The sequence below is a fragment of the Homo sapiens genome, chromosome 6 (assembly GCF_000001405.40).
Source record: "Homo sapiens chromosome 6, GRCh38.p14 Primary Assembly".
Classification (NCBI taxonomy): domain Eukaryota; kingdom Metazoa; phylum Chordata; class Mammalia; order Primates; family Hominidae; genus Homo; species Homo sapiens.
Window position 1 is genome coordinate 99,325,382 of NC_000006.12, and position 27,384 is coordinate 99,352,765.

Here is a 27,384-nt window from a genome sequence, read left to right on the forward strand (position 1 = left end):
TGGCTACCTTTTTAAACGAATGCCCATAAATCTGATTAGAAAGCTTTGTGTGACTCTTTTGGTAAGTCTCTCAAAATAAAGTACTGAAGAATCAAGAAATAGTTTTTCCCCAAAAGAGGAAGAAGTACATCACAATAGTGACTAATTAATGTGTATAGTCGGAGCATTCCATTGATCTTCCAATACAGAATAGCTCACATTTTTTCTAGTAAATTCTATATAGACATGGAAACGAAATGCTTTCCTACTTGCTCCTTTTTTCACACCTGCAGTAATTAAGATGACAATTTTCACGTTCCCTTAGAATAATTCAGCACTTTGACTCTAATTGTATTAGGTCTAAATTCACAAAAAAAAGTTACACAACCTTTTACCATTCTGGAATTCAATGGTTTTAGGATAAAACTAAATTATTCTAAATTGAACATGAGCAAGTAATAATAGCATCCGAAAAGCATCTAAAGTGTAAAAATGCAGAATGTGTGGCTCTAAGCTGACGGGTTAGAAGGGGAAAAAAATCCTTTGTAGACAAATTACAGATTTGATCATAAGCATAACTGATCGAGCTCACCGGGCAGAGCAGAGGGTGAAGGTGTACGCATGAAGAGCATCAGCTGCCTGACGAACTGCAAGAACTTCTGTAAGGGGCACGTGGGTACAGGCTGCATTTGAGGAAGCCTGTAAGAGGCGAGGCTGGAGGCGCCGGCAAGGGCACAATCAGGACAGGCCTGAGGACAGGGAGCTGAACTTTATTCCAAAAGCAAAGGTTAACGGCTGGAAGGCTTTAAACAGACAAGAAACATAATCAGATTTGTGGCAATGTAAAGGAAGAACTGGAAGGTGGAGAAAATGCTAGCAGGAAGGCCAGTTACCAGACTACAGCAAAACCAGGCAAGAGATGATGCACTGGGTGAGGCAAAGGCAGAAGGAATCCATAGGAGAAACATTGCAATAGAAGAAAAAGAGTCTACTGGACTACAATGGATGTAAAGATTTATGGGTAAGGAGAAACTAGGTATTTTCTCCTAAAATGATAGTTTGAGTGGATGGTAATACCAGTAACCAATACTAGATTGTACAAGGTAGAATATATTTGGATGATGAAAGATTGGTTAACCTGTAGCATTTGAAGGTCCCATGGAACCCCTAAGTGAAGATGTCTAGAAGGCTGAGAACTCAGGAGACAGGTTTAGACTCCAGATAGAGAACTGGTGAGCAGGGGCATGTTGGTGGTGGTTTCAAAGCTGTGAGAGGAGATGAGGTCACCTTAGGAAGTCTCTAGAGTGTTGAGGAAACCATAGTTCAAGGGCAAGTTAGAAGATGTGAAGGCCAGGCTGAAAGAGGCAGCTTGGAGAGAAGTAGGGGCATCTTTCTCTGCGCTTCAGAAAGAGAGAGTGTTGTAAGGGGTGAGGGGCTACAGAGAAATTTAGAGTTCCTGCCTGATGACTTCAGCTTCCTCCGTAGCATGGGAAATGGGGGCACGCACACAAGGTGAAAACACAGCAGTGTAGAGAGTTTTAGCAGTAGCAGGCATGAAGGGAGAGGCAGCTGTTCTGGGCCACACAACTTGGCAGGGAGGAGTCTCTGCCAGTGCAATGGTGTGGGATTCTCTACCTGCAGCAGGCTGAATGCAGGACACAGAAGACGAAACACTGGCTTGATTCAGAATTTCATAGCTAGAAGTAACCTCAGAAACTGTTTGGTCTCTCTCTCTTCTCCTTCTATCTTGCCCTTGATTTTTCTTCCTCTCTTTCACTCTCTGTGCTCAATATTATCGACCAGTGTCAGGGAAGAGAAGTAAATGAGGGTCAGGCAGGTCTTTAAGGGTTGAGGCCAGTGAAATGTGTATAAACTTTAAATACCAAAGAAAATAGATGCTTCATAGATTCCTAAATCAACTACCACACATAGAAGATATCACATTGTATATGTTTCCATGTTATTGCAAACAAGAATCCACCTCCTTTCACAATCAAGATTCTTGAAAACCCTGTTGACATGGTTGGAGCCTCTACCCCAACTACTCCACCAAAATCACTCTTGTTCAAGTCAACAGTGCAACATCTAAATAAACCATCTTTCTATATTCTTGAACTCTCTAAAGTATCTGACACTATTGGCCTCTTTCTTGGAACTTCCCCTTAGCTTACACCTCTACTGCTTTTCCTTCCACCCCTTACATATTCCCAAGATCTCTATCTTCATTCCTCCTATCTTCCTACTCCACACTCGTGGAGCCATCTAACTCACACCTATGACTTCACACTCATGTCTCCCATATCCAGCCCTCTCTCCTGATATCCATGGATACTATGTGGATGACCCTCAGGAACTGCAAACCAACATTTCCAAAACTGCACTCATCATCTTTGTTCCATTCAAACCTGATTCTCCTCACCCAAGCCAGAATCCCAGGAGTTTTTCTTCACTGACCCCTCTCCCTCACTCCTGACAGCCAGTCACCCTGTGAATTTGCCCTTTCTCCAACTCTATAAACACTGCAGTTCAGCCCTTCATTATTTCTTAACTACAAGGAACATGGCCTCCTACCAGGTCCCCTGACATCCCCTCAAGGCCCTTCAGAAATGATTTGCTCCAATGTATACAAAGAGCTTCCTAAACACAAACCTAATCATAAGAGTAATGCTTCTTAGAGTCATTCATTAATACCCCACAGCTCCTTTGCATGGCATGCCAGCCCCTCTCCCCACAGTCTAACCCCTCTATGACCTGGCCCTTCTTGGGCCCCATCTCCCAGCACTGACTCCCATGCACCCCATGCACAAGCCATACAGAATTACATGCACCTCCCTGCTATAGACTGAACGTTCATGTCCCTCTAAAATTCATGTGTTGAAACCTAACCCCCAGTGTGTTGGTATGTGGAGGTGGGGCCTTTGGGATTATGATTAGGTCATAAGGGCAGAGCCCTCATAAATGGGATGAGTGCCCTTATAAAAGAGACCCCAGAGAGCTGCCTTGGCCCTTCCACCATATGAGGTTACAGTGAGAAAGATGACCATCTATGAGTCAGGAAGCTGGCCCTCGCCAGACACCAAATCCACTGATGCTTTGATCATGGACTCGCCAGACTCTGGAGCTGTGAGAAATAAACTTCTGCTCTTTATGAGCCACCCAGTCAAAAGTATTCTGTTATGACAGCCCAAACGGCCTAATATACTCCCCAAATGCCTCCTTCTTGCCTCTAAACTTGTGCAGATGTTGCTCCCTCTGCCTAGACATCCTAACCTTTCCCGACCACCAGCCCCTTCATCTGCCACTCCCAACTGTCCTTGGATTCCGTTTTGACAATACCTCCTCTGCAAAGCCTTCCCCCCTTCTCTCTAGTGATAGCTGGCTGCCTTTTCTTGGTTCTTCAAACCCTCCCCCAGCATTAACCATTACAAAGCCTTGATGTCTGCCTCCAGCCTTTGAGCCACTTGATAACAGGTATACATACCATCCTGGCCACTAACACTCATTCATTAAGTTTGCAGAAATAATGAATTATTGATTAAATGAAAAAAGGCTTTGCTTTTGAGCCAGCTACTGCTAAGTAGTGTTTCTAAGAGATGACACATACTTAAATAGAAAAATGGGAAAAGAGAACAAAGAGATGTGCCTACGGAAAATGAAGAAGGGGCTGCCACTTTTCTCTTGGAATCCATGGCTCTTCACTCTCCACTGGGAGGAGACCCACTGCAAAAGGAATCATGAATCATTAACTGAAGAGGACAGAGAGGGTCAATTTGGAAAGCTGACAAGGCTAAGCAATTAACTTATCATTTTGAGGATCTATTTCAAGAAGTTGAAATACTAATTTTCCTTATCACAACGAATGTATCTAATCTCTTCTGCAAAAATGGGGTCAAAGAGATTTTTTAAAAGACTATCTTAGAACAGAGGAACAAAACCTGCTCAAAAATGTTTACAGGTGAACAAGAAAATGGTCAAAGAGAAGCTGACCCCTGGTATTTTAATGAAGATATCATGCATTATAACTTAATACCTGGCCCGTGATAGAAATGAATATTTATAAGTGGGAACCCATAACAAACTACAATTTGATGACTGAGTATCAACACCTGGACTTCCAACTCATGAGAATGCCTTTCTCTGCATAGGGCTACATCCTTGCTGTCTTTTGCTTATACTCTGAATATCTACTCAAGAATACAGGAGCATATGGTATGTTTCTGTAGTTTCACCAAGTTTCACAAGCATTACATCAACTCCCCCAAACAGGGGCCCTCGCTACATCTAAAACTGGGGTGGGGAGAAAAGAAAGAAAAGGAGAACATATGAACAAAGTTATAAACAGAAAGAGTAGTCTCTTGGCTTTTAGAAAAGATCTTGGTTAAGTCAATTTATGAAACTATCCCATCTTCCCCCATCTCCTGAACTACACTCAAAATTGTAAAATTATGGCCAACCTAGAAGCAAGTTTGAATTCACTGTTCTAATGCCTGTGTGTATGTGTGCACGCGTGCACACATACACACAGGCATTAGAACAATTTTTGTTATTTTTTTTTAGAGACATGGTCTCACTCTGTCGCCCAGGATGTAGTGCAGTAGCGCGATCACGGCTCAATGCAGCCTCGAACTCCTGGGCTCAAAAGATCCTCCCGCCTCAGTCGCCACCACACCTGACTGTTTTGTAGAGAGAGGGTTTTGCCATGTTGCCCAGGGTGGTCTCGAACTCCTGGGCTCAAGCAATCCTCCTACCTCAGCTTCACAAAGTGCTGAGATTACAAGCACGAGCCACCACGACTGGCCCTAATGCCTATATTTTTATGGGTGAAAATATTATAATAACTAGATAGTCTGAAAATGATACCCATATGGGGTTGAAAGACTCTGAAGACGCTCACTGACATCCACAAGGGGGCAGTATGTCACACTGAAGAAGCTGCAGTGTGTGTCACCCAAAATCAGTTTCATTCCAGTCATTTGACCCCGTGTCAAGTTGACTTCCCTTTACACCAGCTTCTCTGTACTTATGTATTCAGTACAACAAAGGGGATTTTTAAAAACTGTGTTCTTGATCTTCAGTAACAGTTTTTATAATGCAAGGGGGACATCAGTGTATAGATTTCAAGTGGAAGAAAAGCCACTTTAGAGCTGAGTGTGTTTATTTGAATAGACCTAAAACAGTTTCAGAATTATGTGATGTAATATAACAATGCTAGCTTTCCATTGCCTTTGCTTTTCATAAAATCATGCCTGGGGTGTTTTTAAGGTTTCAGGCCAACATAAACATATGAAAACTCCACATAATTGAATCAATTGAGTCAAACAAGGTAGGCTTATTAAATTTCCTCTTCTGGCTATGTGAGTATAGACACAACCTAGGAGCTCACTGACTGTTAGAATTTAACAAGATATCACGGAAAGCTCATACCTATAATATTTTCCTACAAATTTTGGTCAGATCCCTATATGCTGGGCCTCAGCTTCCACAGGTAGACATTTTGTGTGTGGCCTTGGAACCAGAAGAGCAGAGGATGGGAGGTGCCTGAGGGAAGAGTATCTGAAGATTCTCTGCCTGGGGCATGGGGAAAGGAGGGTCTTTTCTCCATTGGGATTTAGAGCTCTCCTAAAAGTCTCTTCAGGTTTTCCCCAAAGCAAGAAGTTGGCTAAAGGCTTGAGAACCTTAAGAAACAGATTTGTTTTTCCTTCTGCTACTAGGGACTAAATAGAACTGTGGGAATTAGCAGTGTTGCTTTGAAAGTTTATTAGATATGTGCATCTCAATCAAGACCTTGCCTCCCACCCTCACTATTTTTTCCTCAAATTAACCATTGAGAAGACATAAGCAAGAAATAATAGCTAACCCCTCCAACATTTTTCAAATTAAAAAGTGAATTAGAGAAATAAAATTGTCCTTAGAAGAGTCTACATATGACCCAAGCAGATCCCCAAGCCTTTGGAAATTTGTAGTCCACAAAATTAAGATCTTTTCCCACGGGGTACCACTTCCCAACTCTCACCTCCATCCCTTACCCCACCCACACTCCACCCCGCATGGAGTATCAGCTCGGGGCTGGTGAAGGAAGAGATGGAAAGGGCAGGGCAGGGATGAATTTTTAGCAAGGAGTAAAGTTATGTAAAATGATATGTACGCACACACAGAACAAAAAATAGTGATGTGTGGTAGTTGGAAATGTTGCTGGGTCAAAAACTTTCTAAGGGGAATATATATTTTCTAAACCATTATGGAAATCAAAGAGTTGTAGCCAAAGTGACAACTAAAATGTATGGCTTTCAGCTTTTCAGACAGCTAACAAAGCAACAGCTCTGGCAATCAATGGGCCCATCAATCAAATGAGGTAGTGCCTTGGAGGGCCTCTGTCGAGGGAAGGAACATGGGTCACGTGGCCTTGTGCAGGTCCTTCCTTTCCCTTCACAGCAGCAGAACTGACTGGAGCCTAGTAAGCAAGTGTGATGGGCTCTTCGCAAGGCCTTTCTCAGAAGCTAAGTTTTTCCTGGAAGCTATGCATGTCAGATGCAGTCATGCATTCTGGTTCCCTGTGACTGTGACTGCTGCACACCTTGGGAGGGGAGCCCCAACAGTTCCCTACCACTATTGTAAGGAAAATACCTGGTTCATTCCATGAACACTGAGTCTGATTACTTCCACACTAATCTGTACCCCTGTCTCCAGCCTCTCCCCAGCCCCCTCCTTGCTGCCTACTCTATCACCTCTTTAGGGAGTGGTGGGTAGAAGTGGAGCTTAGGTCAGCCCTGGAATAAACTGGGCAAGAATCAAAAGTAAAAAGAGAAAAAGAAGAGGGTCACTTAAAATCCAAGAGATAGGAACAGCAAGTTCTCCATTTAGAAAGAGAGTAGAATAAATGAAATAGGGGAGGAGGAGAAGAAAGAACCTTCTCCAGTCAAGCCCATATTGAGGATATCACTCAGCGGGAGAGGTTTAATAAAAGCTACTGGGCCAGCATCTGCCTGCAGATAACAATTAATGCCAAAAACAATGGGCTTAACAACTCTTAATTCAATCTTTGGAAAAAGATAAAGTTTGCAGAAATCAAGAGAAACTTTCTCTATCTACTGGGGTGTAGAGAAAGGTGCAGAAACTCCAGAAAATGGATGAAAGAAAAATTTCAAAAACCATAGACTAATGAGTTTGTAAAGCAAGAACCATATCTTCTTAACTCACATGGTACCACCGCCAGCTCAAGGCTACAAAAAACAGAACAGGGAAAACTCATCAACTCGTGTGATGGTTCAAACTTGGGGAATACAAACTAGGAGTTTGCAATCAAGCCAAAGAAAATCCAGAAAGGAGTAGTATGCTTTACTTCTGGAACATACAGAAGCTCTTGTTATCTATGGACAATTGACCCTAGGAATTCTATCTTGACTTAGTCTTCCATTCCCTCCTCTGAGTCTCTGACATAATATTATTTTAATTCAACAGTTTATACAGTATTGGTAAAAAGCCCTGAGTCCAATCAATTCAACTATCTTCCTCAACTCAGTGAGTTCTAGTCTAGATCAAGGCCCATCAAATTATAGTCCACAGGCTAAGAAGTTTTTACATTGTTAAATGGTTGAAAAAAATCAAAAGAAGGATATGGTACATTAAATGAAATTCAAGTTTCAGTACCCATAATAAAGTTTTAGCAGAACACGGTCATGCTCATTTGTTGGCATACTCTCTTATCACTGCTTCTGTGATAAAACAGCAGAGTTGACTAGTTGCAAAAGAGACGTACAGCCAGCAAAGCCTAAAATATTTACTGGCTGGTCCTGTACAGAAATGGTTTGCTGACCCCTGGTCTAGGTAACCAGAAACTTCACAGTCATAATAACTTTGATGACTGAGCCACTCACTTCATCCGAAACTGTTAAGGTAGAAAACTGCTGAAACGGTGGAAAGAGGATCTGAAAAGTGAAACAGAACCTGGGGCTTACTTCGAAAGGACGGGGACACCCCAGAGGGGACTCACCAGTAGAAGTGCTCCTCCACCATCTTGGTCACCGCTCTGGAGATGGCTCTTTCATGAGGGCCAAGGTTTTTGTTTAAATTCACTCCAAGCTTCTCTTCCAGAAAGTCAATTATGAATTCTGTGCCAGAAACTTTTTCATGATTATATTCAATCCAAGGCATTTTCCCTTGAGCAGAGAGTTTTCCACCAAAATAGTTCTAAGCAGAGTACATTTTTAAAAAGAGAAAAGCAATATTGTATTTAAATTCCACTGCATGATTAATAGAAACAAACATTCCAACCTTATGTTTGATAGTGACAGTACTACTCAAGTGAATGAACTCAGGGCATAAACTCCTTAAGACAATACATGGTTACTTCAGGAAAAAAACTTGTTTAACCTCACATAAAGATATCACTTTATTCTCCCACAGATTCTATCGTGGACTTTGGCTTATGATGGAAAAGGAAAAAAAAGACCCCAGGGGCAAGGGATGATGGGGGTAAGGGGTAGCAGATTGAAAGGGCTGAAATGACCCTAGTAATAGTCAGTCTAGTTTTAATGTACAAACAATTCAAAAACTCAAAAAGTCAATATAAACCACAAGGAGGCCTGTATTGACTGGACAACTAACCAAAGACCTCACTTGAAAACCAGTATCTCACACCTGAATAATAATACCACTACACTATGAATGAACGGTCCCCAAAAATTATAATGCTTAGGTGTAGCAAAGTATGTACAACATATTCAACTACTGTGCCTCTTAAAAATGCAGGTTCCTGTGCCCCAGCCTGGACTACTGGATCAGAATCCTGGGGATAGTGCCCAGAATCTGTGTTTTTGACAAGTTGTCATTGGTAGAGAGAATAACGGGGATTTGGACTGATCTCTGCCTCCTGGTGTCTTGATATTTATCTCATTGCTTATTCTAAAGAATAAAAGTAGGCCTAACCTCAAAAAGGGTAATAACTATTGGGGATGTTATAGGGGCTGCTGTTAGTCATATTGCCTTTGTGCAATTAAGAAAATAGAACCTCCTCTGGGTGGAAATGGTCCATTCCAAGGTTTGCGGCTTGGCAAATAGAACTGGGTCAAGATTTCACCCCCACCCTTTGGCCAGGCACTGTTGTGCAGTGAGCAACTTGCACAACCACATATGGATCTCTAGACATTATCCCTGATGTTACCCCAGGAGAAATGTCACCTACTTCTAGAAGCTGCTAATACATCTAACATTCTTGTAATCTGTATACTAAAGATGTAAACTTACCACATACCATAGCCCCTATTTCAGATTTCTCTTGATGCCATCCATATCCTCTTAATACATCCCTTTCTGGACTCTTGTCATTCTCAGATGCAATCTATCCTCCACACTGCCACCAGAGGGAACTGTTTACAATGCAAATGAGACCCAAGAACGCTGCTGCTCAAAATTATCCAATGGCTTTAATAGCTCTAGTCTACAAACTACCCCTTTTCACACAGCAATCTAGACCCACATCCACCATCTAGCCACTGCCCACCTGCCCGGTCTCATTGGCTATCTAAGTCCCTCTGGTCTCCTAATTCCAGCTACCCCTACCCAGCCAGGTCAAGGTGTTTGCCCACCTCCCTGACTTTATGCACTCTTCACCTTTTACAAGAATCCTTTTCTCCACCCTCTGTAAAGTCCTATATCCATGCTTTTTAAAACAAATCAGTTCAAATCTCACCTTGTTACATAATTATTTCCCCAGGATACAACCATTATTTGCCCTTCCTCTGTGCTTCCACTGTATGGTGTGTAGTCCCCTACCCTTACAGAGTAACTATTTACACATCTGGCCTTACCTCTAGACCACCCTTTCCCCTGATAACTTGTTACATGTTTATCTTGACTACTTTTTAAAATAGTAGTAATAAAAATTGTAGAAAGTAAAAAATTTCCTCTTCAAAGTTCCCCTTCTTGTTAAAGAATAAATCATAAGTGTTAGAAATAATAGTTTCTTTTTATTAAAGACTAACTTTCTTCAAGCCTCCTTGCTTTGTGCTAGTAACTCTTTGTTAAGCCCTATCCTACGTAACTGTTGGACATGCTCACAGGCACGTTCCAGCTCACAGCCTATGCCCCTTCCTTATTTGGAAATGCTATTGCTTCCTTAAACCTTTCGTAAGCAACTTCTTTGTTCTTCCTTTCACTTACCTATTTAGGAAAGTTTTAGGCTATCAGCAAATCGGGCATCAGTTTAAGACTGTGAGGCCCTGCTCCAGCCAATGGATGCAGGACACAGCAGTAAGGACAACCCAAATGCGTAAGGGATAAATATGTCTGCTTTTTCTTTGTTCAGGTGTGCTCTCGCCATTGTTCCATCTGTGATTGAGCACCTTTTCTGCAGAAAGTAAAGATGGCCTTCCTGAGAGATCTTTTGTCTCCATGCTGACTTTTCTTCGCAGCACCAATTATCTATTTCTAACAATTTTGGTATTTCTAACAAAATTAATAATCAATTCTTATGTAAATGGAAGTTCTAGTATGTTTTCATGATCAACAATTATATTTTGATTGCTAGGTAAAAAGCAAGAGACAACATTTTAGAGACACTCTGATTACATCTAAGTAAACATAGATGAATGAAAAAACATTTTAAAAAAAAAGAGACTTACAAACATGTCACAAGTAATTGGGAAGACTATAGGTGAGATGCCGGTGATCTTTTTTTCCCATACATTTCAATTTCTCTAAATGTGGTCGTATAATTTTTAAAATAAAAAAAAATTTTACAGACACGGGTGTCTCACTATGTTGCCCAGGCTGGTCTCAAACTCCTGGGCTCAAGCAATCTGCCTGCCTCAGCCTCCCAAAGTGCTGGGATTACAGACATGAGCCACCATGCCTGGCCCAAAAAAAGTATGTTAAAAATGTTGATTTTTTTTCTTTTTTTCTCCCTTTAATTTTTCCTAAATATTTTTATTTCTACAAAATTGAGACAGGGTCTCGCTGTGTTGCCCAGGAAACTCCTTGTGATCCTCCTTCCTCAGCCTCCCCAGGTGCTGGGATTACAGGCATGAGCCACCACACCCAGCCAAAAATAATACTTTTTCTTAACTTCTTTAAATCTATTGAAGAACTCCTGGACTATTTTTATTTAAGCAATTAGACTCTGACTAATCCACTGAGGGTAGTTTCTGAAAGTAATTTTGAGAAGATAAAGAGGTAAATCCTCCATATTTTTTCCAAGCTGATGTTTCCTTCTGCAAGTCTGCCCCAGGTGAGACTGATGCAGCCACACATATACTACATTATTAGCATGGCAGTGAAGGCCATAGGCTTTGGATTTCAAAATCTCATTCCATCATTTATTCACGGAGTGACCCTGGACCTCCCTGGGTCTCCCTTAACCCTCCCTGGACCTCAGTGTCCTCATCTGTAGAGTGGGGATAATAACAGTTGCTAGGATGAAATGAGAAGATGTGCAGTGCCTTCATCAGAAGTATTTTGAAGAACTTGAGACTCTAAGAGAGATACCAGAGTCTTGGGACTCTGATTTGATATACTGGCCAGAATACCCATAGGTTTCAGGTAAATATCTATCTATTACATTCACTCTGCCCAGGAGCTATCTGGAGTCATCTTCCACTGGCTAAATTTGAAATAATTTGAGCAGTCTGTGTGGATTATGACACACTGAAAAAATCCACGCACCCACTATCTATTTAGTTTTGAAGAAGAATGTCCTTATTTTTTGGAGCTGCATGTTGAAGTATTGCAGGATGATGTGTCAGGATTTCTGCAACTTACTTTAAAATGGTTTACCAAAAACACTGTTCACAAATGTAGATGTAAAGAGTGGGGAAAGCAAAGGAGGAGACATTAACCATTCACGATCTAGGTAAAGGGCATGGGGGTGTGCACTGTACTATTCTTTTGTCTGCAGCTTAGGAAAAAAAAAAAGAGGCAGGAGGGGAGACAAGGTCAGCAAATAAATACAACATCAAAAGTTAGGGCTGACAGCTGAGGCAGACAGCTCCAAAGGAAACATTTTCTTTTTTCTTTCTCTCACTTAAAAAGAATTCTTTTGTGAAATGTATGCTTCTTATACAACTACTTATATCAAATGATGTAGGTGTCTTTACATGTCTAAAGAAATGTAAGGAAGAAAAGCCAAAAATATCAGTTATGATAATAATCTCCAGCTCGTAGGATATCAGGTAATTTTCACTTTCCACATACACTGTTTTGTACTGTTTGGAATTTTTCTAAGGACCATATATCATCTACACATAATCAGAAAATGCAGTAAAGCTATTTTTGTGTTTTTTAAAAAATTAACCACATCCCCAGGACCTCCCTGTACATTGTTTGCAATTTCCTATAAGTCTATCATTATTACAAAATAAAAAGATTTTAAAATTGAACTACCAATATTCATATCTTGATAGAGAAAAATAATAATAACTGTGTTCAATACATTGAGCTTTTTTTAAAAATAAGCCTTTTGATTTCCTAACTAATGGTCATCAAATATTCATTCCCATTCCATTTAGGTTAAAAAATTCAAGAGCTTCTAATATAAAGTCATGATCTGAGGAGCACTGGCATTTTAATCTTTTTAAAATGGCACAGGCAAAAGAAGGGGCAAAGGGTACAGCTCCCTGGGTCCATGACAAAATATTTCTCTACTGATCAATCCAAGAAATGAACTCCCCAGCACTCCCCAGACACCCACTGCATCAGTACAAATCCCCACTAAGGGAATGGGAATCAAGGTACCCCTAACCGTTGCAACACAGCATCCCTTTCTAAACCACAGCACCATTTTTTTTTACCTAAAATCTGTCACACCCCTGGAGCATTGCCCACTCCATTTATTTTCCATACAGACTTCACAGAAGAAAAACAGCCCTATACAATTCTTTTTTTAAAAATATACTTAATAACAAATAATAATTTTGGAAGGGGTAAGCAAGCCCCTTCTTGAAGACCTCTGTAATAGCTGCAGGCTTCACAGCAAGGCATGAGTCCTGCTGCTCCAGTTACACTAACTACAGGCAGCTGCTCTAAAATGTGAACAAAGGCAGATATGCTGCAGGTAAAGACAGGTCTACAGCAGTCAGGGCTTGACGGCTTGAAGGGCAGAAAGGAAAGTGCAGAAAAGCCTGGCAGCTGCTGCAGCCACCACAAACGACAGGATTATTTTATCAAAGGTGGGGGAGCACAAAAGTTCTTGAAAGTAATCAGAGACAGCACTGCACAAAATTCAGGTTTTGGGCTCCCACTGCCCCAAAGCTGTCATGGCTAAGTGAGGCAATCTGTTCAAGAGTGATGATGGAATAGAGACAGGTAGCTGTTGGGTAGCAATCTCTTCCTTCAATTTGAGTCTCCAAGTGACACACATCTTCAAGTGCTGACTGCCAAAACCAAGCTGAACAACGATCTTTCAAATATGAGCCAATGCATTTAGATGCTGCAGACCTTGTTTCTTCCATTGCTGTCTTAGCAAGTCCTAAGTAATCTTCTCCCTGCTGCTCTCTCTGGACTCCCCCCATGCATTCCAGTTACCAGTTATAAAGATTCCCTTTCTAATCACTTCCTGTTCCCAAACATCCCATGTCCTCCCTGATGCCCCAATCCGAAGTCTGGACTCGGTGCCACTTCACCATGTCCCCAGAGGCCCTGCATTATAGCACTTACCAAACTAAAGCATGTCAACCATGGTGTCCCAGCATTGCCTTAGAAGGATCACTGCCACCCCCTTCCCCTCTTCTCTACAGAAGCTATCTCAAAAAGCACAGGCTATGGGGAGTCAGGAGCTGGAGGAGTAATATCATTATTGGGGCAGGCAAAAGCTTGGCTGAGTGGGGAGCCCACCCCCTCCAACCTCCCAGTTGGTCTGTTACAACCTGAGGAAAATACCTCCTCCCAGTGTTGGTGCTTTATAAGAGTCTAAAGGTGAACCCCGGAGCTGCAGGAGCCATTTGGGGGAATGGCAGCAAAGCAAAAGGACCAGAGTAGTTTGGGGATGCCTGAGGCTCACCTCCTTTCTTTTTTTAAACTCCCTCAGAGGTACAGGACCTGTGGCCTGGGCTTTAGCCCTCGTCCAGTACAAATTCCCAGGCAGAGAAGTTGGCATCCCTGGTAAAAGGAGTTCTCAAACCAAAATAACTAGATAAGTACCACTACTATGAGAAGGGCAGTGCACTGAATTATACGACATGAAGCAGAATTATTGGGACAGACCAAAAAATTTAAGTAACATAATAAATATCCTCCAATGGATAAAGGAAGAGATTACTAATACAAACTGAAAGAAAACATTAAGAAGAAAAATACAAAAGTTGGAATAAGGAACACAATAGATGGGGTAAATAGCATAATGGATACAAAAACAAACAAACAACAACAACAAACACACATAGAGCAATGCAAAGGAAGCTCAGAGAGAGGAATGCTTCCAGAAAGAAGCAGAAAAGAATTCAAGTAGAGAGTAGAGAGACATAGAAAATAGAAGCAGAGTTTCCAAAATCTGGATAATAGGGAACAAGGAAGAAGAGGGAAAAGAAAAACAAACATAAAAGAAAAGGAAATATTTTAACAAAATTGATAATTAATTCTCCAGAATTCAAAAGAGATGAAAGACCTCAGATAATAAGAGTTTATAAAGGACCAAACAGGATATATAAAGACCCACACCAACACATGCCATATTGAAACTTGAGAATATTAAGATTAAATACAAATTCTAAGATAATTTAGAGAGAAAGAGAAAGAAGAATGAGATTAACATCAATTTTCTTTTTTTTTGAGACAGGGTCTCACTCTGTCTCCCAGACTAGAGTGCAGTGGCGTGATCTCGGCTCACCACAACCTCCACCTCCCCACTTCAAGCGATTCTCCTGCCTCAGCCTCCCGAGTAGCTGGGATTACAGGCACACGCCACTACCGCCCAGCTAATTTTTGTATTTTTAATAGAGATGGGGTTTCACCATGTTGGCCAGGCTGGTCTTGAACTCCTGACCTCAGACGATCCACCAGCCTCAGCCTCCCAAAGTGCTGGGATTACAGGCATGAGCCACCAGCCTGGCCTAATATTTTTAAAATATAGAAGGAAAAGAACTTTGAACATAAATTTATCAAATGTGAGAGTATAATAACTATATTCTCAGGCATGCAAAGCCACTGAAGGTTTGCCACATAAAGACTCACTCTAAAGATATTCATCAGGGAAGTTCTCAAATAAAAAGATAAATCCTTTATAATAAGATATATGGGAAATAAGGCTAGTCAAATAACATACTAAAGTTTGTTGCCTAAAAAGGATAAAAAAGAAAGGATAAGAATTGCTAAAATTCCTTTTTTTTTTTTTTTTTTTTTTTATGGAGTCTGGTTCTGTCACCCAGGCTGGAGTGCAATGGCACAATCTTGGCTCACTGCAACCTCTGCCTCCCGGGTCCAAGTACTTCTCCTGCCTCAGCCTCCCAAGTAGCTGGGATTACAGGTACACACCACCACACCTGGCTAATTTTCGTATTTTTAATAGAGATGGGGTTTCGCCATGTTGGTCAGGCTGGTCTTGAACTCCTGGCCTCAAGGGATCCATCCTCCTCGGCCTCTCAAAGTGCTAGGATTACAAGCGTGAGCCACCGTGCCCGGCCAAAAAATTCCAGAATTAAAATCTTAGACAACAGCAACACAATTGGGATCAGGGCTGGGAAGAAAGGAAGAGACCCAAGGTACACGTAAACTGCTAATGTGTTTGTATTATAACAGAATAAATACAGACTTTAATTCATTTAACAAATTAATAAGCATAAACACAAATTTGGGTCTTAAGAGTAACTACAATAACAACAAAAATATAATTTGTTTTAAATGAGAAAAAATATCTATTAGAAAGCAGGAAATGAGAAGAAATTTAAAATGAAGTATAGTAAGGAGAAAAATATTAAATAAGATATTAGAAATAAGTTCTAATAAAACAATCATTTCAATAAGTATAAATGGATTAAAGTTGCCAATTAAAAGACTCTCCAATTAGATATAAGAGAGAAATAAATACAAAAAGAGAGAGGGCGAGAAAAAGAGAGAGAGAATGAAGAAAGATATCCTAAGCAAATATGAACCAAAAGAAGGCTGGAGAATCTATCTCAATATCTGATAACACAGAATTCAAGTTTTTTAAAAAATAGGAAGAGACATCAATGGAGGATACATACTAGAAAAATAAACAAGAGTAAAAGATGTGAACTTTTATATGTACCTAACAATGTAACCTAAAATATATAAATACTCTAACATAAAGCAAGAACAGACAGAATGACAGGAAAGAGACAAATCAACAGATACACTTGAATATTTTAACATGCTCCTTTCAGACAAAAAAATAAGCAGAAATACAGAAGGTCTAAATAATACACTAAACGTGTTTAAGCAAGTAGATCTATAGAGAGCTCTCTATATCCAAACAGAGAATATGTAATTATTTTCAACATTTTAAAAAAGTAACTACAAACCAGGCTAAAGCTTCAGTGAATTCCAAGGAATCAATATCACAGAGACTATCTTCTCTGACCATCAAATTAAAAATGATAACAAAAATCAAAGCTTAAAATAGTTCCATATGGCTAGAACTTGGTTAAAAATAAAAACATAAGTGAACTTTTAAAAAAAATACATAGAATTGAATGACTATGAAAACACAGCGTGTTGACTTTGTGAGACACAGCTCAAGCATTACTCAGAGAGAAATATATACCTTTAAGTACACTCCTCTTCCTTATTTACTGCTAAAATGAACAAGTGTTTCCCTGAAAGTCACACAAACAGAACATGGAGTGCTGTGGAAAAGCTCTCACCACATACACAAATATCTACCTCGTGGCCTACTGGGCCTTCTGCCCCCAAGATTCATGAGGGACAAAATACGATGCTGTCAATAAACTAAAACCTAAAGTAAAAAACCACATCAGGCAGTGGCACACCCATCTTTGTCAAGGCTCAGTAGGCCTGTCCAAACTATTAACCAAAGCATACTTTTTTTTTTTTTTTTGAGATGGAGTCTTGCTCTGTCACCCAGACTGGAGTACAGTGGTGCAATCTCGGCTCACTGTAACCTCTGCTTCCCCGGTTCAAGTGATTCTCCTGCCTCAGCCTCCCAGGTAGCTGGGATTACAGGCGTCTGCCACTAGCCCAGCCAATTTGTGTATTTTTAGTAGAGACAGGGTTTCACCATGTTGGCCAGGCTGGCCTCAGACTCCTGACCTCAAGTGATCCGCCTGCCTTGGCCTCCCAAAGTGCTGGGATTAAAGGCGTGAACCACCGTGCCCAGCCCAAAGAATACTCTGTTAAAGAAAAATATCATGGCGCTGAATCTCTCAAAAGTTTAGACCTTTTTGATCCATCATTATCAACAGACCCTGGAATCAAGTATTTTATTTCCCTCTTACTAAGGATTAGGCACTGCTAGTTTCAGCTCCCATCCCCTCTGGCATCCACTGTGTGAGACGAAATATTCCCCCCTTTAGTTAAATACTCATCCCCTGATACTGATGTCATAAAAAGAAAACATATTTGCACACAAGTACCTGATACGGTAAGTCAGCCATCCTTAAATAAGTTTCCATCTTTAAACAGAAAGGAGATAAACTTGGAACACCATTGTTAGGTCTTGCAAACTGATGCAAAATAATAGCATCTTTAGAGTCAATCTCTTGCTGTTTCCTGTCAAAACCAAAACAGAAATAAAGTACAATCCACATGTTATCCACATTCGGTTCCCTTATTTCTTGAGAGGACCCTGCAGGGTTGTAGCTCCTCAATGAACAAGCAGATCTGTTTGTCACAGGGGCTTACATCACCCAGCACCCAGTTTGTCGAAGGGGCTTACCTCACCCAGCACTCATGGAAGCTTAGTCAAAACTCAAGAGAACCTTACAAACTCCCATGATATTACCATGACCCCACTGGCTCAGCAAAGTAACTACATAACAACCTCCTTCTGTTACCTATGGCCTCCGGGCAGCAAGAACATTTTCTAGTACTGGTCCACCTATTCTCCAGCCGGCTGTATTTACCTGCTAGGACAAGCTGGATGGATAAAAATGATATTCTGTGCTTGCTGTGTGTCACACATTGTTCTGAGGGTCTCATGGGTCTTATCTCCTTTAATCTTCATAATAACCTTATGAAGTAGGTACTACTGTTATCCACGTTTTATAGATGAGGAAATTAAGGCACAGAGGATTAACTTGCCCAAAGTCACATTGCTAGTTATGGCAGAATGGGCACTCAACCAAGAAGTCAGAGCCCATGGTTTTGGCCATTAGACTATACCATGAAACAGTCTATTCATCCATAAGACCCAGGAATAACAGTGCAGATTTGCTCTGCTATGACCCAAGTCTGTAGGGAATCTGAGACTGAAATTCTGGTCCCTCTTCCCAACTGCCCATGCCCTCACCTAACCCTTCTTTCACCTGTAATGCCATGGAACCTGCCTTCTGGATGCTCTCTCTCTAGCTCTGTCTTCCTTATTTTCTGCCTTCCCAGTATCCCCACTTTTACCACACAGCATGTATTTCAGTACCCCTGCTTTTCCCCTTTCTCCTGTCTCAGCCACACATCCATCTTTTCCTTTGGCTACTCTTTTGGGTGAGAAGGACTTCCCTGCATACAGCTTTTCAATAACCACTACATAATGGAATGAATGCTGGATTCCAAGTCTGGACAACTGGTGTCAAATCCAAGCCCTGCTTCCTACTGGCCACGTTAGCCTAGATCTCTCCACCATCTTCACCTGAAGAGTGAGGACAGTACCAATTCTGTATGGTTTATCATGAGGATTACATAAGGTAATACTGTAACTATTTAGTAAACTATCAAGCATTAAGTAATAGTGGAATTTATCCCCATCCAAAGAGATATGGTCTCATCCCTGCAAGCTCATCATTCCACACAGCCCCACTCATACCCCACTCCTCGGGACCCTTTTGCAATTTCCATCTTCATTTGACCCAGCTGATTTCTAGTCAGATAAACTTCACTCTTCCTTCCCCTTGGCCCTGCCTGAGCCTCTGGTTCCCTCGCATTGTTCCCAGTACAACACCACACCCCCTTCTTTCTACCTAAGCAAGAACAAGCTCTTTGTATCTTCATCACATGGATGCCCACTTCCTGCAGATCCCCATTTAGTAAAACAAACTCTCTTGAAAAGTTTACCACCCAAGGGCCCACTCAACTTCACAGTACAGAATGACTCATTTTGAAAATATGTCAAGTAAAAAAAAAAAATTGCTGCTTTCTGGCAATATTAACTATAAAAGAAATGTTTTCATTTAAATGGAATGTTCGAGAAGTCAGGTATTAAAATCAAGAACTCATTTAGACAATGTTCCAAGACAGCACAAACTATAGATCTGACAATTAACTGATTTTGTCCAGTCAAATAATTCCCATCACAAAGTGGTATTTTCATGTAAATTAACAGACACAAATTTCAGAACCGACAGGAGAGGAGACAAACAAAAAATCCCTGCTCCATCAGCCAGAACGATCTAATTCTAATTGTTAATTTGGGCCATGTCATGGTAAGAATGGAGGCTAATTATCTACCAAGCATATGCTAATGACTTTATATATATTATATATGTTAACTTATTTAATTCTGACAATGACACTTTAGAATGGGTACTGTTACAGTTTAAATTTGGGATATCATATTATACTATTTTATAGTAGATAAGAAAATTGAAGCTCAAAGACGTTAAATAACTTGCCTAAGGAACATCAATTTAAGATTGACTCTGAAATAACTCGTTTCCATGCTCTTAAGCACTTCAAGGTCACCAAAATGGGCAATTCCTCGGTTAATCGTATTAAAACTGCCAGTTTGACTTAGACCACTGAAGCCTGAAACTTTCTGATAAAAGTCACAGCTAATGATGGCCAAGTTTTATTGAATTTTCACCTTGACAAACTCTGTTCTAAGCATGTCACGTGTTATCTCATTTAATCAATGCTATGAGAAAAGCTACTACTACTATTACCATTTTACAGATGAGAAAACTGAGTCATCAAGAGCTTACTGTCATATCCAAGGTTATGTGGTTGGTTACAGACAGAGTCTGAATTTGAACGCAGACAGTCTGGCACCAGAGCCCTCCCTCCAACATGTCAGAAACTCCTCTCTAATTTAGGATCAGAGGTTTGGGTAGGTTGTTCCCTGTACAGCTATATTTTATAAAGTGATCTTACCATAAGGTTTATATAAGAGGACAGCCATAGAGCATTAACTAGCTAGTTTACTACTATTCCCGGGGCTAACGATACCACAGATGAACATGCCTCTGTATACAGCTGATGATTTGTTAGTTTGCAGAGATCAGATGTTGATTCGCCAACTAAATGCTCTAGAAGAGGCTGAGCCCGTGTGTCAAAAGTGCAAATAAGCACTGGTAATGAAGTTAGTACTTAGTCATTCAATTTACAAACAAAAATTTCCAAAGCCTGATTGAATTTAAGATAGCTGCCAAGCTATCTCCACTCAGGGAAAACAAAGTAGTGTGTTGGAACAATATTTATTTTAAAATATGGTGCTAAAAAACATGGATAAAACCCCAAAAACCTACTTCAGTTATATTCATTAATTAAACTTCCTAAGTAATTCTCACCTGTCAACTTTACTCTTCCACTCTAGAGACACAGTCATAGATTAAGGTTATGTCTATGCAGCAGAAAATCCAAGTAGGCTGGGGAAGAGTTTGCAATAGCCAGAAACTCAGGGTAGTCATTTTAAGGTGTATTTTCTATCTTACATATTTCAGATTTTGTTTTGTTTTCTGCCTAAATTATAAAGACTATTGAAACCTAGATTTCACCTTAAGTGGAGGTAGTTATCATGTAACCTCTAAAGCCTTGGTCTTTGACCTTCCTGCCTGGTTTTTTTCCCTTTGCCCCTCCACTCCTCTTCCCCTAGACGCTGCAAGAAAGGCACCTGATACAGGTCTGTCTTCCCTGAGCAATGCTTCAGTTCTCCACATTTCTCTTCCTTCCTCTTCCTCCAACAAAACGGATTTCAAAGTAGGTACTTTTTTTGAGACGGAGTCTCGCTCTGTCGCCAGGCTGGAGTGCAGTGGCACCATCTCGGCTCACTGCAACCTCCGCCTCCTGGGTTCAAGCGATTCTCCTGCCTCAGCTCCCCGAGTAGCTATAGGACTACAGGCGCGTGCCACCACGCCAGGCTAATTTTTGTGGGGTTTTTTTGTTTGTTTTTTAGTAGACGGGGTTTCACAATGTTGGCCAGATGGTCTCGATCTCTTGACCTCGTGATCCGCCCGCGTCAGCCTCCCAAAGTGCTGGGATTACAGGCGTAAGCTGCCGCGCGCCGGGCCAAAGTAGGTACTTTCTAAGAGGCAGTGGTTAAAAACTGCAGGCTCTGATTTGAATCTAGATCCTACTACTCTTACTGTGTGATCTTGGGCAAGCTGCTTAACCTCCCTGAGCTGCAATTTCCTTATCTATGAAATGAACAAACAACAGTTGTGAGGAATAAATGCAGTCACACATGCAAAGCCCATCCTACTAAGTATTCAGAAATAGCCCTTTTTTATTGTTTGCATTACTTCAGAGCTTTCTAATTCAACTCAAACATTTGTCCAGAAACAAAACTGGCCAAGTATGGTGGCTCACACCTATAAACCCAACACTTTGGGAGGCCAAGGAGGGAGGATTTCTTGAGGCCAGGAGTTTGAGACAAGCCTGGGCAACATAGTGAGACCCCATCTCCACAAAAAAGTTAAAAAAAAAATTAGCCAAGTGCAATGGTTCATGCCTGTAATCCCAGCAACTCAGCAGACTGAGGCCAGAGGATCGCTTGATCCCAGGAGTTCAAGAGCAGCCTGGCCAACACGGTGAAACCCTATCTCTACTAAAAATACAAAAATTATCCAGACGCGGTGGTGCACGCCTGTAATCCCAGCTACTCAGGAGGCTGAGCCAGGAGAATCATTTGAACCAGGGAGGTGGAGGTTGCAATGAGCTGAGATCGAGCCACTGCACTCCAACATGGGCGACAAAGCGAGACTCAGTCTCAAAAGAAAAAAAAAAAAAAAGGAAGAAAAAGTGTGAATCAACCTAGGATTAAACTCCTTAGTCCAAATAAGCATCCAGTGCTGAGGTATATAGTCCCCTAAATGAGTTAGTAGCTATCTGTGGGCAGAGAGCTCTCCAGTCTCCAGTGACAACACCTGCCAGGGCAGGGCCTACTCCGGAGTGGCAGCTGAGCTCCACACTGTTTCTGCAAGGTCATTTAAGCTTTGTTTTAAACTTGGTCCTGTGAAGCCTTCACTCCCTCCACTGCTGAGAAGCCTCATGGTTTGGGATCTCCTCAAAGGCTTTAGACTAGAATACAACTGAGAAACAACTGGGTTACCATTTAAATTACTGCCCAAATGTTTTAGTTCTTTAGGTAGCTTGAAATCTAACTTGAAATACAGTTCTAAAACTAGCACAATTAACAAATAATCTAGAGAGATAATTCTCTTTAAATTTTTTTGTTTGGTTCAGCTAGATTCAAGGCAATGTGTTGAGAGAATTAAATGTGCAACAAGCTTAAAATAAACTTCCTCAAATATGGCTAAATAATATGAAAACCAATACATTTCTCCAAACCTAAATGATTTCCCACCCTTTCAGAGATGGGAACTATTCAAAATATGTACGTTAGGCCAAATGCCTACATTAGGCCATCACAATAATCTCCTGGGATCCCTGCAGGCTAGTACAGGTCACCTATCACTGTCTTTGTTTATAACCTATTGTGTAGGATTCCTCCACTGGAATAAGGCAGTGTGGACACATTTCTCTCACTTTAGAAAATACTGGCAAAGAGACATTCTGAGCTATTGAAAACTGGGCTTCTGGTAATCTTCCAGTGACGGAAGGCTCAAATGCATGGAAATTTTAACCATTAATTGATGTATCAATTAGCCAAACGACTGTCTCAGTGCCCTGTGGTATTACTCTACCCAAACAAAAATCTCGTCCCGGCTGGATGTACCAACAGCAGGGGCCTCCATTTTCTGGTATTTCCAACTCAATCTTGTAAACATTCTGCGGCAGCGGATGCAACTGTTTACGGCACTGGGCGACTCCGTGTTGTGCCCAACACACCCATGTGCTAGCCTGTCCTACTGCTCACACAACAATGACATCTAAGCCTGAAGATGGTGCTTGGCGTTCAATACCAGATAAGCAGAGAACCAGGTTAAGGCTGCATCAAAGCTGCCCACCACTACACTTGGTCATGCATCTTTAACAGGGACCCGCAGGTTTCTGGAGCTTTTGCAATTTTTCAGTCTTTTGATGTTGACATTTAGGGAAGAACTAACCTTTAGGTAAAAGATAAGGTTAGCAGTTAATATTCCAGCATTATTACTTATAAACAAGGCATTTCATAAAAGTGTAACCTATTTCTGCAGGGCCCAATTCTATTGTTGCAAACACACTGCACTTAGATCCTCCTAAGGCCATTTCTTAATAGATAACGACAAGTGACCCAGAGCATTTTGGGAGACAAATGTTTTTCCCTCCCAGCACCGGTTTAATTCTCCTTTCAACTCTAAACTGCCCCTCACGGCCAGGTGACCACAAATGCCTTTAGGGAAAGGTAATTGCAGGGCGCTTGGGCATCTGGGCAGCTTGACCGAGGGGCTGGCACGGGCCCCTCTCGCGCCAGCCCTGCCCTAGCCAGGTGCCCCTCTCTGCGCCCCTGTGCGGGGCCCTCTCTCCGGCTCACCTAATGACCAGGAGTTCGTGGAGCAGATACGCAGCTGCGGCCAGCAAAGCTCCCCCGGTCAAGTAAAGGGTTTTCTTCCACCAGGGATCGGAGCCCAGCCCTGCCATGATCCCACCGTAATCCTGCAAAGGGAAAGCGATGATGTCCCCATAAAAGGAGAAGGGCTCCTCGGACCCGGCCCACCAGCCGAAGAAGGAGATGCTCTGGTTCCAGCTCAGATCCACCACGCACGGCCTGGACGAAGCAAAGCCAACCCCCCAGTGCATGCTGCGCGGCTGGCTCCGGGCGCCCCTCCCAGGGCCCGCGCCGCCCGCATGGGAAGGGGCCGGCGCGGCCCGGCGCGGGCTCAGAGGCGCGCGGAGGGCGCGGGCGGCGCGGGCGGCGGCGACTGAGGAGGCGGCGGCGACTGAGGAGGCGGCGGCAGAGGAGGAGGAGGAGGAAGGGCACTGGCCGCGGACGGCGGGCCTGGCCGGCGGGGCCCCAGAGCCCTGGGCGGCAGCAGCGGCCGCCGGCTCCCCCCGCAGCTGCCTCTCCGCCCCGCTCTTTGTGTCGGCGCCTGGAGAAGGCCGCGTGATGTCATTGCTCCCCGGGGCAGGGAAACAGAGGCGGGATAAAGTCACCTACCCCGCGCCCTGCCCCCTCCCCGCATCTCCGCGGTCCGGCCGCCTCCGCCGGGGCCGGATCTGCAGGGCTGAGGCGCGCCGGGCAGGCTCCGCGCCTCCGGGCGGCACGCCCAAAAACCGCTCGCCGCGCGCGGGCAAGGGCGGCGGAGGTGCCTGGAAATGCGGCCCCACCGCGAGGAAGCTGCAGTCGGGGCCCGGATCCCGGTCCTCCCCTACCCCGGCCGGCCCTCCGCCTGCGCTCCAGCCCCTCCCGCGGGCCCCAGAGTAGGGAACGCGCAGGACTCACCTGGGGCGGCGCGGAGCTGCGGGCAGGAGACGCCACCAGGCGGGGGCTGGGAGCGTGGGCCAGGATTAAAGTCGGGAATCAGATTGTTCTGGCCATCAGGAAAGCGCTGCGTATTTGCATAATGTATAAAAACACTCTTATTACATTACACAATTACCTCGGGCTTGACCAGGTGTTCGCAGAGACGAGATGTCTGGTTTGGCAAATAACAAAATACTCTACCTAGAGAGATTTCTCTGACAAACCCAGTTCAAGTCTTTCCTCTTTGAAGTCACTATCAGGGAACTCGCTGATACAGGGTTTCGGTTGGGGGACGGGGGTCCCTCTTTTGTTTTAGAAAATCTGTCTAACAACTGTGTGTGTGTTCAGTGTATTTTTTTCCTTTAACTTCATTTATTAAAGTTCATAAGTACAAAGAATAGAAGCTTGTAATATATGCACAGATTTTAACAAGAGCATGGATAGTTTTAAATTGTTTGGAAGAACTGAAAAAGGATTCGGGCCGTGGAGGTTCATCACTCTCAAGGTGGAAGGATGGGTAAAAGAAACCTCCAGGCTCTTGCCTATGGAGCAGAGATTGAGGCGCAAAAGGACTCCCCCTTTTTTTCCTCTCCTGACACACCCGCCCCTTAGAACAGGCAAGGAGTGTGGTCGTCTTGTTAATAAATAATAAATATGGACGTGTCGCCTCAACGAGACGGGGGGAGGGGCTAGTCAGCTGATGCCTAGGCACCAGCATGTGAGACTCCCCAAACACTCCTGGGAAAATGTGACCTCCCAGGAAGAAGTAATGTGTGTGGTTCTAAGTGAGGCTCCCATAAGTAGGTTGCAAGGAGTGAAACCCAACGGCCTCCTGGGGTGACTGAGGTGGTCACCAGCCGGTCTTTCAAGGAGAGAGGCCAGAAGGCTGCCTGGCCTTGTCGGCAAGAAGCAGAGTAGTTAAGTCTGGGACCAAAGCTGCAGTGCTCTGGAAGAGGGAACAAGGAGGGCTGGCACCAGGGATTCTCCATGCTCCTTCTGTGCCCTTCCCACAGAGCACTCAGTCTTTGCTCTCAGTGAACACTGAGCCAATATTTAAAGAATATAAGTTTGATATTTGGGATCACATTATTTGCATATCTAGGTCTAGACATGGGGATGGGCATAAATTACCTTAAGTGGAAGAATATGGAAGGCAAAAGGGAGAGTCAATCCTGACAAACCTTATGCCCAAAACAAGTTAGAACCCAGAGGAAGTGTAGTATTTTTATCCCAGAAAGCCACTGACTACAATTCACTCTCACTCATAGTGACCTGCCCCACCCACTCATGCAGGCCAGGGGCCCACTGCTGCTTCCTGGTAGTGTCAGACAACTGTTGAGCATCATCTGGTCTCTGGTTCAAATATGGTTTACATTTTTAGAGACACTGCAGTGAACATCTTTAAGAAGCAGATGTGGGCTGGGCACAGGTGGCTCACACATGTAATCCCAACACTTTGGGAGGCCAAGGTGGGTGGATCACCTAAGGTCACGAGTTCGAGATCAGCCTGGCCAACATGGCGAAACCCCGTCTCTACTGAAAATACAAAAAATTAGCCGGGAGTGGTGACGAGCACCTGTAATTCCAGCTACTCGGAAGGCTAAGGCAGGAGAATTGCTTGAACCCAGGAGGCGGAGGTCTCAGTGAGGAGAGATTGTGCCATTGCACCCCAGCCTGGGTAACAAGAGCGAGACACCGTCTCAATAAAAATAAAAATAAAAATAAAATAAAATTCCACAAGAGAAACTAAAATGTCATCTTAATCTGATGCATCTTAAATTTTAACTTTTAGATCCATGGCATAGAAGAGAAAAGATGATTATTGTTAGGGCTGTATAAGATGAAAAGAGGAAGAGTAGACTGAGGAGACAACAAATCTGAGTTGGACAAATATTTGGTATCAGAATGTCAGAACAGGCCGGGCATGGTGGGGTGGCTCATGCCTGTAATCCCAGCACTTTGGGAGGTGGGCAGATCACTTGAGGTCAAGAGTTTGAGACCAGCCTGGCCAACATGGTGAAACTGTGTCTCTACTAAAAAAAAAATACAAAAATTAGCTAGGCATGGTGTCGAGCACCTGTAACCCCAGCTACCTGGGAGTCTGAGGCAGGAGAATCACTTGAACCTGGGAAGCAGAGGTCGCAGTGAGCTGAGATCGCGCCACTGCACTCTAGCCTGGGTGACAGAGTGAGACTCCATCTGAAATAAAAAAGAAGAACCTCAGAACAAACCTTTGGGGAGCAAGGAAAGCAGCTCTAGCTGTAAAGGCACCGACTGATGCAATCCTCAGCCAAATCTTCATCCAAAGACAGACTGAGTTTCAGAGGGAAAAGCTGCTCCACAAAGGGGTGCAAGCCAGCTGTAGAAAGATGGGAGACTCAGGCTCAGGGGCAAGGGACTCAGCCCCAGAGGAGTGGTGGTGGTGGGATAAACTCAGTAGAAAGGAACCAAACACAGCTTGGTTAACAAGAGTTGCTAAGGAGGCTGATTCTGCAAAGAATGGCTCCTCAGAATCCCTAGTGTAGAGCCAAGTCACAGGCTGAAGCCACAGCAGCTATGCAGGGCCTCCCTACTGAGGCTGAAGGTGCAGGAGCTGAGCATGTCTGCACCCCAGCTCTCCTCCTGAGGCTCCTATAGTTAGTGAGAAAATTTGAAGACTCTGGGCACTAGGCTAGGCATCTCTACTTCACCCCTTCTACCACCACCACCACTAATTTTGACAGCTTTGG

General features: G+C 43.0%; 1 protein-coding gene across 9 annotated transcripts in view, besides 6 other annotated features; it reads right to left on the reverse strand.

Moving 5' to 3' along the window:
* FAXC (failed axon connections homolog, metaxin like GST domain containing) overlaps positions 1-24,675 on the reverse strand; it is a 78,896-nt gene extending 54,221 nt beyond the window's left edge. For 2 of the 9 annotated variants that reach the window (NR_144464.1, NM_001346532.1), the window contains exons 1-4: positions 24,350-24,609; positions 23,726-23,847; positions 17,517-17,652; positions 7,970-8,166 (exon numbers count right to left, since the gene is read on the reverse strand). Coding sequence is in view for 6 of the 9 variants with exons in the window: in NM_001346532.1 (NP_001333461.1) it covers positions 7,970-8,166; positions 17,517-17,652; positions 23,726-23,832 (440 nt within the window). In the remaining 3 variants the exon portion in view is untranslated. Of the gene's footprint in view, positions 1-571; positions 783-7,969; positions 8,167-17,516; positions 17,653-23,725; positions 24,294-24,349; positions 24,610-24,634 lie in introns of those variants that run through there. The other 7 variants (NR_144463.2, NM_001346531.2, XM_011536189.4 and 4 more) reach the window with 6 other exon arrangements.
* Positions 20,675-21,175: an enhancer, noted in NCBI's record as "H3K4me1 hESC enhancer chr6:99793932-99794432 (GRCh37/hg19 assembly coordinates)". NCBI's record gives its function as "activates a minimal SCP1, AML or CMV promoter by ChIP-STARR-seq in primed H9 embryonic stem cells {active_cell/tissue: H9 hESC(primed)}" and the evidence as "EXISTENCE:reporter gene assay evidence [ECO:0000049][PMID:30033119]".
* Positions 21,176-21,676: an enhancer, noted in NCBI's record as "H3K4me1 hESC enhancer chr6:99794433-99794933 (GRCh37/hg19 assembly coordinates)". NCBI's record gives its function as "activates a minimal SCP1, AML or CMV promoter by ChIP-STARR-seq in primed H9 embryonic stem cells {active_cell/tissue: H9 hESC(primed)}" and the evidence as "EXISTENCE:reporter gene assay evidence [ECO:0000049][PMID:30033119]".
* Positions 22,567-23,131: an enhancer, noted in NCBI's record as "H3K4me1 hESC enhancer chr6:99795824-99796388 (GRCh37/hg19 assembly coordinates)". NCBI's record gives its function as "activates a minimal SCP1, AML or CMV promoter by ChIP-STARR-seq in naive H9 embryonic stem cells {active_cell/tissue: H9 hESC(naive)}" and the evidence as "EXISTENCE:reporter gene assay evidence [ECO:0000049][PMID:30033119]".
* Positions 24,323-24,382: a silencer, noted in NCBI's record as "silent region_17414". NCBI's record gives its function as "represses an Ori minimal core promoter by ATAC-STARR-seq in GM12878 lymphoblastoid cells {active_cell/tissue: GM12878}" and the evidence as "EXISTENCE:reporter gene assay evidence [ECO:0000049][PMID:35858748]".
* Positions 24,453-24,502: a silencer, noted in NCBI's record as "silent region_17415". NCBI's record gives its function as "represses an Ori minimal core promoter by ATAC-STARR-seq in GM12878 lymphoblastoid cells {active_cell/tissue: GM12878}" and the evidence as "EXISTENCE:reporter gene assay evidence [ECO:0000049][PMID:35858748]".
* Positions 24,563-24,642: a silencer, noted in NCBI's record as "silent region_17416". NCBI's record gives its function as "represses an Ori minimal core promoter by ATAC-STARR-seq in GM12878 lymphoblastoid cells {active_cell/tissue: GM12878}" and the evidence as "EXISTENCE:reporter gene assay evidence [ECO:0000049][PMID:35858748]".